Raw genomic sequence first — 18,938 nt, 5'->3', positions numbered from 1 at the left:
AACCTTGCTGCTCCTCACTCTTTGGGTCCTCACCACCTTTATGAGCTGTAACATTCACTGCGAAGGTCTGTGACTTCACTCCTGAAGTCAACTGAGACCACGAACCCACCGGAAGGAAGAAACTCCGGACACATCTGAACATCTGAAGGAACAAACTCTGGACACACCATCTTTAAGAACTGTAACACTCACTGCAAGGGTCCGTGGCTTCATTCTTGAAGTCAGCGAGACCAAGAACCCACCGGAAGGAACCAATTCCAGACACACCACCAGGAAATTGTTTTCATTCTCTACATTATCCCTCATGGTATTCCAAGCTTTACCCTTCTGAAGGTTTCCTTTTTTTCTCCTCTCAGATTATCCTTTCTTTCTAAATTCTAAATTCTCCCTATATTCTGTAGAACATTCAACTCTCTCGGGTCCTAGCCCACATTCTCTTCAAGGCCCACCTTTGAGGTGCTCAGCAGAACAAAAAGTCTGTTTACTTAGCAAGATCCACCTTTCTCTGAAGGACTTGTGGTTGTCAATAGCAATATATTGCATATGTCAAGTACCAAGTACTATTGGTGCTCAATCAATGTTTTTTCTTTCTTTCCTTCTGCTTGTTTTATTGTTGTTACATCCTTTTTCCTTCTTACTTCAAAAAATAAATGCCTCACTACATCTGTTGACATTTGTGTTCTCTTGTTTGGATGTAAGCTCACGAGAGGAAAGTTGTGTGTCCTTCTGGCCTTGCACAATACAGCATGTATAAGGAGGACATGTAATGTCTATTCTTCAGATTTGGTATATGATAACAGAGAAAACTTAGGGCCATTTCCTTGGCTTTTTCAACACTTCCTTCTTCTCCAGCTAGATAGTAGCCTACTGTAGCATGACGTCTTCTCAGAGTATAAAGCATAGTCTAGGACACAGGAAAGGTAGAAGATCTGAACATAATACTTTCTGTAGACTCTGGTCAGGCTACTTAATCCTCCTGACTCTCAGTTTCCTCATCTGTAAAATAAGTAGTAGTACCTACTTCATAGAATTCTTGTGAAGGTCAAATGAAATATGAAAGTAAATTACTTTGCACTGGGGCAGGCACAGAACAAGTATTAAATAAGTAGAAGCTATTGCTCAACTGAAATATGAAAGTAAATTACTTTGCACTGGGGCAGGCACAGAACAAGTATTAAATAGGCAGAAGCTATTGCTCTTATTAATTATTATTAATATTATTGCCACACCATTATGATTTTTGGTTTATATAGTTAACAGAAAAGTTTAAAATAAATGGAGCAAACAGTAAATTTCAGGAGATAAATGGAGAAAGGGCCAGAATAAAGCTCCAATTGCATCCAGGGTGATATTCAATAGATTGGTTTTATTTTGTTTTGTTTTTTCACTTTTTATTCCGCATGCATAAGTAAACAGAAATAGTATAATTTACCTCATGTACCCATAATCCAGCTGCAATAATGTTAACTCATGGCCAATGACTTTTCATTTTATCACTACTCATTTCTTCTAACCCCTCTCCCGCTGTATTATTTTGAAGAGAATCCCACGCATTGTATTATTTATTCCATAAATATTTCAATATGCGTTTATGAAAGGTAAGGACTTGAAAAATAACAATAAAATACTAAGTAAATCTTTTTTGACTTACTCTTAACACTCTCATATGAAAAATATGCAGCTTACCAAATGCTTCTTTAACAACTATTAGCTCATCTGTTCATTATCATCTTGGGGAAGGCAACTGAGGCTCAGTGAGGTTAATGAACTTGCCAGGCGTCACAGAGCCTCAGTTTCCTCAAAGATGACAAGGAACAGATGAGCAATCACTTGTGAAAAAAGCTGGATTCAAGCCCAGTTCCATGTGACAAAGACTATGTACTGTACCATGCACTTTACATTGTACCATATTGCTCTTCCTATACTGGCTTCAACCCCAGAGTTTCTCCTCTCACCCCCTCACCCCTGGTCTCTACTTTGGTCATGAGGCAGAGATGAGAGGGGCTATAGCTAAGTTGAGCCAGGCACTGGCAGAGGGATCTGACATTGAAAGTAATTAATATGTATGAGCAGGGGTGCATCCAAGTTTGCAGGGACTTAAGCTTATTTAACTTGATGGGCTGCTTTAAGACAAAAATATATGTATTACAAATAAAAACTTAGGTCCGAAAGCTAGTATTGAGCTAGAATAAGAAAAGAAACAATAAATTACACATTTTTTAAAGCTTACAAATCTTTAAAGTATTTTAAATGCTATAAATATTACAAAATATTTAAAATAGCATATTTTTATTAATTAACCTCCTGAAACACTTATATAATAATTTTTCCTACACTTTTGGCTGCACATTCTTTGACCACCTTTTCATATGACTATGATTCTGTCACATCATTTTCTAAAGAGAATAAAAAGCCAATTTGGTCCTTTCTTTAACATGGTAGAGCAAATGTTTTTTATTATTGATAGTTTTTAAAGTTTATTTCAGCATTGTGACTCATAATGTAAAATTTTAGAATTATTATGTAAGTTAGGAAACTTTATCAAGTTTTCTTCGTACATAAACTTTAAGATTTTAGAACATTTCATGTTTTCTTGTTCCATGACTAATCTTCGATTCTTTTTGTTGACATTCATTAACCACATTTCCTGGGTCATTTCAGGTTCTTAAAAGGGACCTGTGCAAGTAGGGGGCTCCTGAAACTTGAGTTTCATTAGATTTAGAGTAAAGTTGACTCATCAGATTAGCTGGTTACCTTTTTCCTTCCAGGCTCTTATGTCCTCATTTCCTCTCCCTGGGGCCAGATCTTCATTTCCTCACCAGGCCTCATACTTACCTAGGAAGTAAATTTCACTTCAACTCCAGGCACAGAGCATTCATTCCCCTGACTCTGTAACTCTGCAAAACAGTGCTGCGAGTCCCCATCACTCTCCTCAGTGACTGAATTAGACCACAAGAGCCTTCTAATACCTGGAGTATCTATAAATAAGAGCATGCATTGTAAACCTCGTGGGCTTTAAACACTGGCTACACCAGGTACAGAAGAATACAGAGGCTTGAAGATGAGTATTTTCCACAAAGATATGAGGCCTTGCTGGAACTGGGTTAATTTCCCTCACACATTTCGTTGTATAAATACAACAGTTGAGATGTTCAATTAAAATAAGTACCCTTAATTTCAAATGTTAGTCTGTTGTGTGCATAATTATTTACTGAGCTGCCTAGGATATTTCTCACAATTACATTTTCTTACTTTCCCAGTGAAATTACTGGTAATTTTTGGTTTCTCTTTCATTTAACAGGACAAAACAAAGCATTCTGGGTCTGCCTAAGGCAGGACTAATATAACTGCCTCAATAATGGCTACCTTCTAGTGAAGGCAATCTCCAAGAGCGGAGGAGGGGAAAAATCCAGGATTTTTCATTCTTTATAGAAAGAATTTGGCTCTATTTAACTGTTTGTTTCTTTGTTTGTTTCGTCATAAGCATAGACAGACTCTATCTAATATTGTTTATATATCATGAACTGCTAAAGTGTTGGACATAGGTTGGAAATGTATCTCATAGATCTTGGTTCTCTTAGTGTCTTCGAAAATGGCATTGTTCAAGGCACCACTGCCTACTCAGTCTGGGTAGCCTCTTAGCAGACCAGAGGGTGTTGGGGATGTGTTTCCTACAAGTGCCTCCCAGGGCATAGAGCAGGCCAGAGAAGGAAGCAGAGATTCAAATTAGCACTAACCAGTACTAGTATCTTATTTAAGAGAGTTGAAGGTCATTTCTCATTGACATTAGGGATTTTGCCTATTTTATTCACTAATGAGCTGGGGAGCTCGGCTGTGTCTCTTAATGCTGAATTGTCTTGGAAACCATTTACGTTAGTTGCCCTAATTTTTTTTTTTTTTTTTTTTTTGGCCGAGTCTTACTCTGTCACCCAGGCTGGAGTGCAGTGGTGCAATCTCAGCTCACTGCAACCTCCGCCTCCCACGTGCAGGTGATTCTCCTGCCTCAGCTTCCCTAGTAGCTGGGACTACAGGTGTGTACCACCACACCTGGCTAATTTTTTGTACTTTTTAGTAAAGAGGGGGTTTCATCCTGTTGGCGAGGCTGGTCTTAAACTCCTGACTTCAGGTGATCTGCCCACCTTGGCCTCCCAAAGTGCTGGGATTACAGGTGTGAGCCACCATGCCTGGCCTAGTTGCCCTAGTTAATTGCTGGATATCTTTTCTACCAACTTGATTTCTATTGTGAAATTCTGGGTCCTCACATAATTCATGGGTATTCTGTTCCATTGTCCTCTCATGCCTGTCTTAGGAACACTGAATTGCAGCTATTTCCAGTTAACTTACAGGATGTTTATTTTTTATTTTTAAAATACTTTCTGAGCACCTACTCTCTGCCAGCATCCTGCTAAATATTGTAGAAACAGAGATGAATAAAAAAGACAAACCCTGTCTTGAAGAAGCTTTTAGTCTAGGAGGAGACACAGACAAATATTTGATTATTGTATTAGTTGGCGTAAGTTACAACAAACAACCCCCAAACCTCTGTGGCTTAACATAAAAATTTACTTCTCTTCTATTAATAGGATATATGTGGTTCGTAGGGTAACTCAGCTCCACAGTACATTGGGGACCCAGACCTTTGCATCCTATTGGAGGTAAGGGAAGAAAGAATGTGGAAGATTGGGCTTAGAAGAGGTGAACATATCTCTTGTGCACACTACATTTGCTAGAGTTGGTTCATAGTCTTATCTAACTGCAGGGAAGACTGAGAAATGTAGTCTAGCTGTGTGCCTGAGATTAAAAGGAATTTGAGTTTAGAGAGCACACGGTATTGCCCTTGTTACACTAATAATAAAGGGTAATTGTGCTGTGACAAAAATCAACACAGGAATTATGGGAGAAGAAGAGGGGAGCTTAGTTTGTGGTAAGGGGGTGGGGATGAGAATCAAGAATAGCTTCCTAAAGAAAGTGACACTTAAACTGATTTTTGAAGGATATTTAAGAGTGAGCTGGGTGAAGAAGGGGAAAGTAGGATTTGAAGTAGGAGGATGACACCAGCAAAAGTAAGAAAGCATGAAATAGCAAGGTGTATGCTTAAATATATGAGTCAAAGGACTTACATCTAGATTTTGCATTTGATGAGTGACACAAGGAGGTTAGCAGCAGTTCTGGGTCACATTGATACATATTAATTCAATTGTTCTGATCAAAAATATATTGCCCAATTTTCAAAATCAAAGAAGTATTTTTTGAAACTAGTTGAAAGTTAAGCAGCCAGCATGACCTAGTTGAGAACTTTATTCAGAAAGAAAATGAAAAAGAATTTGGAAATGAATTTCCCTGAAAATCATATCTCCATTTATTTGTGAAGACATAGAAACCACAAATTTTAAGGATGTGCAGAGAAGCAGTTTGATGCACTTTTATTCCTCCAATGAAATTAACAGCAAAATTTTCTGTTATAATACTCAGAGTTGTTTTGCTTTGGGCTCATTGAAGAACAGTTAATGTAAAAATGATTGGATTAAAAATCTCATAATTTTTTGTGCCTGCATCTATATTGCTGAAATTGGTCTAAAAAAGTCTATGGCTATAGAGTGCCCTAGAACTCTTGCATTTTGTAACTATCTATGAATTGATTAAGACCAAAGTCTATCTACATAAGAATCTCTCTTAGGAAGAAATAAAGTTTTTGGCTCAGAGAGGGATTTCAAAACAGGAGTTACTGCAATGAAAGACACATTTCTTGGACCATTTTTAAATATGAGAAAAATGAATAGTACATCTAAATGTGGAATCTATATCGATAGAACTGGAGGTGGAGTGGGCGTCAAACGGTGCTTAGGGGAAAGGCAGGAGGGAAGGAAGTTAAAATAGGACCAATAGTGTTTATCTTGAAACTTGGCAGACAAATCTAGGATTTCATGGTAGAAAAGATGGCAGAGAAAGTCAAGAGATGGGAAAGTACCATAAGTTTCCAGGCAAGTCCACAAAAGCAAACTAATACAGGTAGAATTAAAAGAGAGAATACATTTAAAGTATTTAACACCATGCCTGGCACTTAATAAATGCTTAATAAACATTAACTATTATTATTATTAGTGTTTATTTTGACTCATTGGACACTGCTAACTCAACTCTCTTCTTGCTTAGGTTATTTCTTCGTTTTTTCTCTTGTCAATTTTATTTTTGCTTGATAACAAACATTGAAAACACGACATTGATGCAAAACATTTCTCAAAGCTGGCTCTCCTGAGCCTACCCCTTCCATCTCACTTTCAGACAATGTTTTATGTTTCTTTTATTTTATGACATAGTACCCACAGCTTCCCCCCGCCCCCCGTAGCATTTGTTACAACTGTGTACTTGACTGAAAGTTCTTTGAAGACAACAGAGTCATTTTTCATTCCTGTATCCTCAGGGAGACTACTGTGTGCTTGGCTTGAAATCAAGTGCTTGTACTTGAGCATATGAATGAATGGCCAACAATGAATGGTTCACTTAGCCCTTTTACATTCATTTTATGCTCTGGTTAGCTCAGTGATGCAGGTATTATTATATACAGAGACACTAAGGCTTTGAGATGTTTAAGATTTTTACTCAAGATTTTAAGTGGTATAGTCAATATTCCAATCAGCTGTCTTCCTATGCTTTCCACCCAAACACAGGATGTTTCCTTAGAATTTGTTATAGTGAGAAATAAGAGTGATCTAAGCATTGAGAGACTTACTTGTGTTCTAGCATTGCTCTGTACCTCTTTTAGGGCATTAATAATTACATGATGTCTTATGTTCTTTACCACAAGCCTGAGAACTCCTTAAAGTAAGGAATAGCTGTCTTATGCACCTCATTATCCCCAGCATCTAGCACAGGATATGGCACAGATTAGGTTCTAGCTATATAGCTATTTGACGACTGACTGAATGAGTGAATGATACAGTTATTCTTGATAGTAACAATAGCAATAATAATTGCATATCATACAAATAAATACAGAGCACTTTTTTTTTTTTTTTTGAGACGGAGTCTCGCTCAGTCACCCAGGCTGGAGTGCAGTGGTGCGATCTCGGCTCACGGCAAGCTCTACTTCCTGGGTTCATGCCATTCTCCTGCCTCAGCCTCCCGAGTAGCTGGGACTGCAGGTGCCCAACACCACGCCTGGCTAATTTTTTTGTATTTTTAGTGGAGTCGGGGTTTCACCGTGTTTGCCAGGATGGTCTCAATCTCCTGACCTCGTGATCCGCCCGTCTTGGCCTCCCAACGTGCTGGGATTACAGGCGTGAGCCACTGCACCCGGCCAATACAGAGCACTTTTACATTCATTATCTTCTTAGATGTTTATCCCACTCTTGTAGATTTGTCAAGACTAGTTTGTTACTCTTATTCTGGAGTGAGGCAAACTAAGTCCCAGAAACTCTTAGCAATACACCCAATTTCATACCTTGATATAGAACTGTAATGCCAACCCTTGTATATCTGACTTCACATGTCATGCCTTTTCATCTTTATCAGCCTGTTTCAATCCCGAGAGATTTTTGTCTTTACAGAAGGAAGAGTAAAAGAAGACCAAAAGTTGGATAAATAGAAAGTATTATTGGGAGAATTTCAGGTCATTTGTGCTATTAGAGGTGAAGATTCCTTTGGGTGTACTTTATATCAGTGCTTCTTAAACTTCATTGTGTTTATAAATCAGTAGGCATCCTGTTAAAACACAGATCCTGGTTCTTTAAACCTGCTACAGGGGCTGAGATTCTCCACTTCTAACAAATTTTCAAATAATGCTGATGCTGTTGGTTCAAGAATCACACTTTGAACAGCAAGACTTTATATCACCTATGCAGGGATCCTATCCCCTCCTAAGCCAGCACTTGTGGAGCAGGCTGACTCAGTCTTGATAGTACCCATTTCACCAACCTTGTCTCCAGCTTTTGTATTTATACCTAATAGTATTTTTCTGAGTAACCATTTTAGTTCACAGGGAATTATTACCTAAATTTATGTCACTTGGGCAAAAATTTGAACACTGAGGATAAGGATTTAATCTGTTTATTTTGTCCATTGGGATAGAATACATACTACGCTGCTGATCTCCAACTGAAATGTAAAACCTCCCAATGGGACTACTTGAGATTTCATTTGTTGAATAGATGCCTACGTGGGAGATGACTGGTGGGTCCCAGAAGATATCAGCAGGGATCCAGAAAATATTTTTTTTCATTCTGAGAAACAAGGGCTAAGGAAGTCATGAAAAGAGAGTGGAGCTGGGAGTCTCTGCCATTCCATATGTATCACATTTGTTTGATAAGTACTCTAGGTTTTAACATATGCAGTTGTAAAATGTGAACTATGTTACCGATATCACAGAATTGTTGTCAAGATTTCAGCTACTGTAATATTATATTTCCTCTCCAAAGTCATAAACTTCTTGAAGGTAGAACTTGTTTTACATTTGACTTGCCAACTAGAGCACTGCATATAATACTTGTTGTGTGATATGCCACCAGTAACAGATGACCCAATACACTATTTATCTGGGAGAACACTTAATATGTAAAATATTATAATACTAATATTTTTGTATATTGCTTTGGTATTGTAAAGAAGAATATTTACTTATCTGGTCAGTTACAAAGATCTATTGATTTTGCCTTCTACTACATCTCAAATTTATCTCCATCCTTTCCCTTCCTAATTAAAGTCTGATCATCTCTCACCTGGGCTAGTTTAATAGTCTTCTAACTTATATTTCCTTATCCACTGTTAACCTTCTAAAATCCATTATCTATGAGGAAGCCATAATGATATTTTAACATTTTTTAAATCTGTTAATGTCACCTCCCTGCTTAATAGCTTTAATGCCTTCCCATTATACTTGGGACAAAGAGAAATTCCTTACAAGGCCTACCATGCCGTTAATGAACTAGCACTTGCCTACATCTTTAGACTTACCTCATAACTTTCTCCCCCATGAACTTTGCCTATCAGTCTGTGGCACTAGCCTTCTTTCAGTCCTTTAACTGGAGCACATGTCTTTTAAGCACAGGGGGGATCACAGGCTGTTCTCCTGGCCTGAAATGCACAGTCTATTTCCTACTTTCATCCAGTAAAATCCTTATATTTTAGTTCAATTGCCTACAAGAAAATTGTCCCTGACTCCACTGAGTCTTGGTTTTTTGTTGTTGTTGTTACATGTTCTTTTACTACTTAGTCCATTCATAGCACATTTTATTTGTATAATTAAATGGTTTTTGAATTATTCACTCAATATCAGTCTCTTCTATTAGACTACGAACTCCATGAGGGTAGGGACCTGAATATGTTTTATTCATTTTTATAACCATAGCTCTTGTCACAGTATCTATTTCACAGAGTTGTTGAAAGCAGTCAAGGTGATAATCAATGTGAAGGCTCCTACCACTTAAAGAGATGTGGCAGGTGGCCATTAAATGTTACTTTCTTTCTTATACTTTCATTTCAATTAGAAATTTTCCAACAGCTGGATTTAGCCTAGTCCCTGATATTGACAGATTTGGCTTAGATAAGTAGGGGTATGGAGAATGCAGAATTATAGACATAAAACTGCAGAGCTACCCAAAGGTTATGAGACTGGAATTTAGCTAGACTAGAAAGCTAAAGTTACAGTAAAAAGGTAATCCAAGGGAAGACTTGGAATGGCCTTTCTGTGTTGCCTTCAATGTGTGCATATGAAAAATAAAACAAACAATAAACATGTACACATGAATCTAGGTGTAACAAACTAAAGCTGAAAAGTCTCCTTTCTACTGTGGACCATATTATACAGAGGATCCATTTAGAAAATTAAAATGAAATGCATAATTCTAAAGCTGCAATAAAACCTTCACTTTTGCATAGCTTTAAACTACTGACTGTTCTGAATTGCTTTCTCTGGTAAGATTGCTTCTGTAGTTGATTGCATGTCAAATAAAAAACTCAGCTATATGAAGACTCATAAAAAGCAATGTATTTTAACCTAAAGACATCATTCCAATGAATTGCAAAGTTACAAGGGGAAGAATGGGACACATTATGAGGTTTCAAAAACCCCATTTCTTGTTTCAATCCTTAGGAAGTTCTTAGAAGAGATCCTATATGGGTATATTTTAGACCATGCCATATTATATCTCTCTAGTCTCTTAAAACTGAACTAGTCAATCATCCACTTTAGCCCTCCCTTGCAAAAGAACTCCAGTTTATCCTAATCAACTACTATTGATCTCCTTCTCCCTTATATGAATGCCCTTTTTGGATCAGTTGAGGGAATTTTGATTTGTTTTTCTGTTTTACTCATATTAAGAACAAATTTCTGGCACAGCAAAAGGACTCCACAGCAGGCCAACTGTTTGTAAAACTAGTTCTTCATTGAGCCTTCTGTTTCTCCATTTCTCCTTCTCTTTTCTGATCGCTTTTTTTCTGTATTCCTTTAGTTTAATGAACTGCTTGATTAACCTCCTTTAGCTTTGAAAAACAGCTTGCTTGTTTCTAGCACTGAATTCCAAGGTCATTTTTCTTTCAGGACAGGTTTCCTCAGATGCCTTCTCTGATCATAGCCTATGACACTTGTTTCTCCTTCACACTGAAGGGATAGACCTGAGACTTTAATTTATTGTCAATTGTAACACATGTCTGCATCATTTGTGGCCCATGGACCCAGAACACAGAATACAGTGGGTGAAAGTGCGTGAAGATACTATTAGGTTAAATCTCTTAGTCATGGAGCAGTGAGCTTTAGATCTCTGACTCACCTAGTCTTTTTAGTTTTATTATTTCAACAATCATATTCCATTTCCTTAATGTATTCATGTTTTTCTTGTATTTATTTTTTGCCATTGTTGCATGTAGGTGTGAGTCAGCTGCCTTACATGCCCATATAATAAATACTATACAGAACATGCATTGAGCTTTTACTCAATTCCAGGCCATACTTTTATCTGTATTAACTAATATATACACTTTATATATATTGACTGATTTAATCCTTACAATAAACTTATGAAGTAAAAGCTATTATGAGCCTCATTTTTCATATGAAGAAATTCGAGCTCAGAGAAGCTAAATGACTTGCCCAAAGTATCACATTAAATAACTAGCTGAACTAGCATTGAATGCTACTCCACAGCCTAAACTCTTAAACATTATGTTGTAACATTTATCTAAGGCCATTTACAAAGCATATTCACATATGTCATCTGATCTCCATGGCAACCCCATAATTATTTCCATTTTATGGATGAGGAAATAGTGGCTCCAAGATATGAAGAATATACCACAAATCACATAACTAGTAAGATGTGGAACTGAGATATGAACCAAGTTTACTGATTTTAAATTTAGAAATTTTCCACCAAATCATAATTGATGTTCTAAATTCAAACATTTGGTAATACCTTTGCATCTGGTTTAACTACAGGTATGCACACAATGTATACGTCTATTCACACATACATATGCATATATGCCTTTTATATTACCACATGTATAAATATCATCTGGATCAATTTTTAACTCTTAATTTGACTAGTATATAAACATAACAAAATGTACCGGTTCTTTTGAAAGAAAAAAACAACAGCAAACCATTTTTGTGTCCTTAACAAAGACTATATTCATATAATCAAAATTTACCTCATTGGAAAGCTGATATTTTTGACATTGACCCCTGGATAAATCCAAGGATAATCCATTTTAACCAGATAATGTCCTCTCCCAAAGGCAAGGTTGTGTAGAATATCGTTCCATGCAACTCCCTGGTTTCTGCATGTCCTATAAGCTCTTTATCTGAGGGGTGTTGGGGTATGGTGGGAAGACACAGGTTTTGGCATTTCTTGATCTTATTTTGAATGTTGATTCTACTTCTGACTTTCAGCAAATTACTTTCACTTAACTTCTTTCTCTAAGCCTCAATACTTTAACCTGCTAAAAAGAAGTAATTTTTCTGACCTTTAGCCTTTCTCCCACTAATTTGTTTTTCACATACTTGTCAGAGTGATAGTTCTAAAATACTATCCAGATCATGTCATTAACCTCCTTAAAATCCATCTCTCACTCTCCTTTGCTTTAAGGATAAAGTTCATATTCTTTAGCCTGACTCTCAAGGTTCTTTAGAACCTACCTTTCTAGTTTTATTTCTGTTGAACTTCCCTCATCCTCCCTACATTTTAATGTCACTTCAGTCCAAATTCACCTAGTTATTAGCAGGTTCAAGCTTAGAATCCATATTCCCTGATATGAAGTTCAATGCTTTTTCTATTCTAACACCATCTCCAATTAACAAACCTCTAGAAGTAACTTCTTATGGAAACTTATTACATTTACCACCCTCAGAGCATACTTACTATTTCATCTTTTATTCTATTGAATATTTTAAAGCAATCAATTAACATTGTTGCACCACTCTGCTAGGTGCTGCATTATCTGATATAAGTAATACAGTCCTTCCATTTAAGGAGCTCAAAATGTAGTAGGAGATATAAAGACAAAAATAATTCTAATCAGCATAGTGTCTGTTCCTCTCTTTTGACATAATGTAACATGTATCGGAGCAGAGGGACAGAGACAGTCCTTGGGCTAGCGAAGAAGTAGGAAAGAGTACAGAATTGGGAATTAAGAGACCTGGATGCTGTTTCCAGATCTGCTATTAACTTTCTACATGACCTCAGATAAATCATTTCTCCTCTCTATGCCTCAGGTTCCTCATCTAAAAAATGATGGGGTTGGATTAGCATTTGATGATGCCTCAGACTCAAGTAAATATTATTGTCATCCTTATAGCTAACACTGCATACTGTCCCAAAATAAAAATAGCAACTATCATTAGCTGAGGGCTTGCTATGTCCCAGGAACTGTTTTAAATACTTTACATACATCTAATCCTCACAATAAGCCTATGAAGAGTGTATTGTTATTATTGTCCTCACTATGCAGATTAGGAGTCAGAGCTAGAAAGAGGTTAAGTAAGTGATAGATCTGTGATTTGAACCTAGCCTTTGTGTATCCAGAACTAGTTCTTTCCCCCTACATTCTTCATGGCTTCTTAAAGATGAGCACCACTCTTATAGCAATGGTGCTTAAGCCTGTAGCTCCATGGAGACTAGAGCATTAACCTCGCTTTGCCATATTCCTTTGATCAGTTTTAAGCAGTAGGCCCGTTTTCATTGCATATAACCATTGACAGATGTAGTAATTCTCTCAAAACCGGTGTCCATCATTCCTCATTATGGATAATTTCACTTCAAAAATATTTAAGAAGCTAGTCTGCATGTTGCTGATGACTTTTTAAATTACAAACTAGAGTATGGTCCATTTATTGGTATTTTGGAAGCATGATTAACAATACAGCTAAACAGATCTTATCAAAATAAATAAAGTGAATGGTGCAACTTTCATTTTTTCTCATGTATTTCCCTTTTACTCACCAACCCATAAAATTGGTAATTGAAATAGATTCCTTTCTATTAATGTGAGTTCAATATAGCACTACACTATATGGGCTTATATATATGTGTATGTGTCTACATATACAATTTTATAAATATATACGTATGTATACATACACATGTATTTAAACATATGGTTTTAGAGGAGAATGTATAGAACCTTAAGGATAATTTCTTCACCTTTTCTCATTATTCTACCTTTTAAGGTGCTTTCACAAACATTGTAACTGGATCATAAGACCTTTATGATCCTGCCTAATAAAGAGATTCTGATTTTTTTTGTTTTATTTGTATTTTGAGGATTACAGGTTCTCAACAACTCTGTGAACTAGGCCGAGTATTAGTTATCCTCTTCATTTACAGAGGAGAAATCTGAAGCTCAGAGATAAAATGACCTGTTACAGATCACATAACTAGAAAGGGAAAGAGCCAAGACTTGAAGTAAGATTTCCCCGATTTCAAAGTCAGCATTCTATTTACTACATCATAATGTCACCTCTGCATTTTTCATGTATAATTTTATTCAAGCCTTGTATAGATCAGGCAAATTGTGATTGTTGTGGCTGCAGATAAGCCCAGCGATGATCAGGGTTACTGAATCTGACCTGCATTTGGCCAGATCCAGTGAAAGACTGTCAGGTTCTTTTGCAGGCATGGAAGACATACAGACAGGCTCAGGTCAAGACCGCAAAGAGCTCCACCTGAACTTTTTATTCTTTGCAACTTGGGCTTCACCCTCAGGTCTAGGAAAAGGCATTGGTCAAATCAATTCCACCCATTGTTGCCAGGAGGGAACTTCCTCATTCATATTTATATACAATTCTTTCAAACTGCTTTCTGATGCAATTTTACTTTTGTTTGTATGATTATTTGTTTAATGCCTTCTTATCCTGCACATACACACTATAGACCATAAATGCCTTGAGGTCAAGGTCACACCTGCTTTTACTCATTACTGTATTCCCAGAACCTGGAATTTGGTAAATAATAAATATTTGTTAAATAAATGTTGAATGCATGCAAATATGAAGTGTTGATTACTTACTCAGTGCTAAACTCTATTCTGGGTGCTGCTACCTTTTTGCCTATTAAACCTCACTGAATCATAATCACCCAATGAGACAGTAAAGGACACTACCAGGTTGTGTGACCTCATGGCCAAAATTATTGAGAGTTGCTTTTACTTCCGAAATTTCCATTCAGTCTTCAATCTACTGCATTCTGGTATCAAGTTCCACCATTCTATTAGAATTGCTTCTTTCACAAATCTGGGAACATCTTTTAAAACCTTATCCCACAGGACTGCCAGGATTTGACATTGTCAATAAATCCTCCTCCTCCTCTTCTTCTTATCTTGCCTGGTAATATTCCATCATGGTTTCCCTTTTATACCTACATCTACTCTCTCCCATTCTTCCTCTTAGTCTCCTTTTCTTTTGAGGGCCCTTAAGTGTTGTACTCTCTTCAGAAAATCTCCCTACTCTTCTCATTTATACTCTTTAATTCATATAAACTTCAACTATTATCTACAAACTAATACCATCTGGATATGTAATTTCATTCCTAGATACTCTTAAGAAGTTCAACTCCACTTTTCCAAATATTTTCTGGCCAGTGGAGAGTACAGGAAGAACATTTGGTTTTTTGTTTGTTTGTTTTTGTTTGTTTTGTGGAGAATGTGATATAAAAGCATGATGCTGGGGAAACTTCTAGCATATTTGGGTATGAGTGTGAATAGTTAGAGGCTGTTATACAGGGACTGGTTGTTTGTTCCCTCCTCCCCGAATTCATATATTAAAATCTAACCCTCAATGTGATGGGATTATGAGGGAGGGCTTTTGGGAGGTGATTAAGTCATGAGGCTGGAGACTCACTAATCCCATTAATGGGATTAGTGTTCTTATAAGAAGAGTCCAAAGAGCTAGTTTGCTGTCTTTCTGCTATGTGAGGATCCAAGGAGAAGTTGGTTGTCTGCAGCCTGGACAAGAACCTTCACTGGAACCTGAACATGCTCTTGCTGGCACTCTGATCTCAAACTTCCAGCCTCCAGAACTGTGAGAATAGATTTTTGGTGTTTATAAGCCACCCAGTCTATGGTACTTTGTTATAGAAGCCCAAACTGACTAAGAAGCATTCATTTTATTTTCTTTCTACAGATTTTTTTTATGAAAAGAAAAATAAAACTAGCATAAAATAGGAACCTAATAAATATTTTTGAATGAATACATGAGTGAATGAACAAATTAGAGAAATTGATTGGTCTAGAAAAACTTTGTACTTAGTATTTTCCAAATATAATTTACCATTGTAACAATTAATGATAATAATATATTGGATTTCTGATATTTCTTAAATCTACTTACTTTCACAGGTTCTTACTGCCACTGCCCTCATTCAGACTTCCATCATCTCTATTTCCAATGTGTTCCCCTCTAGTCTGCCTTCCATATAGTCCCCCAAATGATCTTTCTAAAAGCAAATTTGGTTGTGTCAGTGTCCTGCTCAAACTCTTCAATGACCTTAATTTTATATACATTAAAGGATTAATTCTTTAGTTTATTTCAAGAGGTTGCCCCTTTCTGTGTGTTAGTCACATTGAATTACTATCTGACCTTGATTCACTATTTTTATTCCATATATTTCTTATAGAACTTCAACTACTTGAGAGCCTTGCTATTCTTTTACTTCTGCTTTTTATACATACTGTGTCATCTGTCTGAAATGCTTTAACTTTCTGTGATGTTTAATATTAAGTTTCAACTTGATTGGATTGAAGGATGCCTAGATAACTGGCAAAGTATTGTTTCCCGGTGTGTCTATGAGGGTGTTGCCAGAAGAGATTAACATTTGAGTCAGTGGACTGGGAGAGGAAGACCTACCCTCAGTGTGGATAGGCACCATCCAATCAGCTGTCAGTGTGCCTAGAACAAAGTAGGCAGGAGAAGGTGGGATAAAACTGGCTTGTTGAGTCTTCTGGCTTTCATCTTTTCTCCCATGCTGGATGTTTCCTTCTGTTTCTCCTGCCCTTGGACATCAGACTCCAGGTTATTTGGCCTTTGGACTCTTGGATTTACACCAGTGATTTGCTGGGGTCTCTCAGGCTTTCAGCCACAGACTGAAGGCTGCACTGTTGACTTCCCTACTTCTGAGGCTTTTGGACTTGGACCGAACCACTGCTGGCTTCTTTCTTCCTCACCTTGCAGACAGCCTTTCTTGGGACTTCACCTTGCGATGGTGTGAGCTAATTCTCCTTAATAAACTCCCTTGCATATATACATATATCCTATTAGTTGTGGCCCTCTGGAGAACCCTGACTAATACACTTTCTTACTTTGCTTGTAACTCACTATAAAGCCCTTAGTACAGCATCTGGCATATAGTAAGCATTTGATAAGTGCAGTGAGTATCATGCCATCATTGACGTTACTGTCATTGTTGTCATCATCATCATAAGGTGTGAGGGATCCTAGCATATCCAATGTATCAGAGATTTTACAGATGACTTTGTCAAATTTGCATTTTATACATAGACAAATGGATCCAGGAAAAGGAAGAGGTTGGTTCAGACTTTTGGAGCTTGTAAGAAAGACAGCAAATCAAGAGAGCTAGAACCTAGCTGAATTAACTTTGTTCACTGCTCTAATAGGCCTCTTGTGGTTTTCAAATTATTTCACCTTCTGACTAATTGATAGCAGCAACTGATACAGAGGAAAGAGCATGGCTAGTCTTAGCTATGCTCAAGTTGTGGCTGTTGTATTTAGTTGATAATATTATTCATCTCATAGAGCTGTTAAAATGCTCCCTTCCACAACCCCTGCTGACCTCATATTTGGCACATTTCCCCTCAAACACCTAGGTTAGAGGGATTCCAGAACTTAAAACTATGCCGGGCTAAGCAGTAGTTGGTTTTTAAAACTTGTAGAAGGGAAATATCATGGGAAGAAAGTTAGGAGCATATTGTCTTCAGGTGTGAGCAGAAACTCAAAATAGATTTCTGCATACGGGTTTCTAGTCGTGCTCGGGAATGCAGCCGACTGAGCACAACATGGCCATATCCTGGAGCTCTGCCAGCTTTGCCCTCCCTATGAGGGACACAGGTGCATCTGTGCCTGTGGCCCATATTATACATCCTTAAGAGGTTCAAGTACATTTGGGTTCAACAAGAGGTATAGAGAGGCCTGCAGAGTGTTCTAGGCATTTCTGGACCAGTTTCCTACATTGTAGTACTTCAGGGACCCACACATCCATCTGTAGAAAATTTTGTAGGACTGCTTACCTAGTTTCAAGAAGAAAGTGCCTTCAAGATTCTGTATGTCTTCTTCCTGTCCATACTTCTGTCTCTCTCAGACCAGATATTTTTCAATATGAGCTTGAATAAATCAGACTGGGATGATCTTCAGTTAGGGAATTTATAATATTCCTATCCTCCTGTGCAGAGAAGCTGAAATTATATCAAAGAAAATGGAAACTTTTGTTCATTAAGAGGAAGTAAAGTAGCACGTATTGATTTTCTACCATTTTCTTGTTTTTTTAAAAATAAATCCTTTGAAATAGATAATAATGTCTTTTAACAATTAAATTGAAATATTAATAATCGCAATTTTACTAACTTAAGAAAGATGACAAAGATAGTCAGCGCCAGAGTAAGATTTTAAATGAAGCCCTATCTGACTTCTGCTTTACCATGAAATCTCTAAGTAGCTCTGTCACCTTTCTTCCTCACTTTTCAGCTGTGCCTTCTTTAAGGTCTCTGGGTTGTGTTTGCACCCCTATTAGCTTAATACAAATTATATACTTCCATCCCTCACTCCTTGTTTCTGCCTTCCTTCCCCTCCCCAAAAGTGTCTCATTTCTCTGACTCTTGCTTTTAGATTGAGTGCATGGTATTGATCAGGATCTCACTAAAAGTATCACTTTCTGATTAATTTCTTCCCCCAAATCCTCATTAGATGTGAATTGTGTAATTGTTAAAAAATAGGCACTAGCTCACTTTGCTTCAAGATGTGTGGTAGTGTTAAGAAGTTACATATGTGGGTTGCAACAAAAAGTATTGGTATCAATTTCATTAGTTTGCCAGCTTGGAGGATAAATGAGAGAGAGAGAGAGAGAGAGAGCCAGAGAGAGTGGGGTTTGATGGAGAGGAAGGAGAGGGGAGACAGAAAAAGACAGAGAAAGGAAGGGATTTAGAATGAAAAGATTTGGTTTAGGCCTCTGGCATTATGTGACTAGGGTATATTGTTTAACTTCTGTAAGCCTTAATTCCTTCATTGACAATAAGGAGATTTCATCTCTGCTCTCACCTCCTCACAAGGTGTATTAGTCAGTGTTCTCTAGAGGGACAGGACTAATAGGACAGATGTATATATGAAAGGGAGTTTATTAAGGAGTATTGACTCACACGATCACAAAGTGAAGTCCCACAATAGGCTGTCTGCCAGCTGAGGAGCAAGGAAGCCAATCTGTGTCCCAAAACCTTAAAATTAG

The 18,938-nt window shown here is 37.3% G+C and overlaps 1 protein-coding gene and 1 long non-coding RNA gene across 11 annotated transcripts in view; both read left to right on the top strand.

Annotated features, from left to right (window-relative positions):
• AGBL4 (AGBL carboxypeptidase 4) overlaps positions 1 to 18,938 on the top strand; it is a 1,501,444-nt gene that overhangs the window by 596,237 nt on the left and 886,269 nt on the right. The gene's annotated exons all lie outside the window — the stretch shown is intronic.
• The window catches only part of AGBL4-IT1 (AGBL4 intronic transcript 1), a 97,885-nt gene that overhangs the window by 44,368 nt on the left and 34,579 nt on the right, over positions 1 to 18,938 (top strand). Inside the window, exon 3 of the long non-coding RNA NR_046839.1 lies at positions 4,584 to 4,655. This is a non-coding gene — a long non-coding RNA (AGBL4 intronic transcript 1). The remainder of the gene's footprint in view (positions 1 to 4,583; positions 4,656 to 18,938) is intronic.

The sequence above is a fragment of the Homo sapiens genome, chromosome 1 (assembly GCF_000001405.40).
Source record: "Homo sapiens chromosome 1, GRCh38.p14 Primary Assembly".
Lineage (NCBI taxonomy): Eukaryota > Metazoa > Chordata > Mammalia > Primates > Hominidae > Homo > Homo sapiens.
The sequence above is the reverse complement of the archived record's forward strand: the minus strand, read 5'-3'. Positions and strand labels throughout refer to the sequence as shown.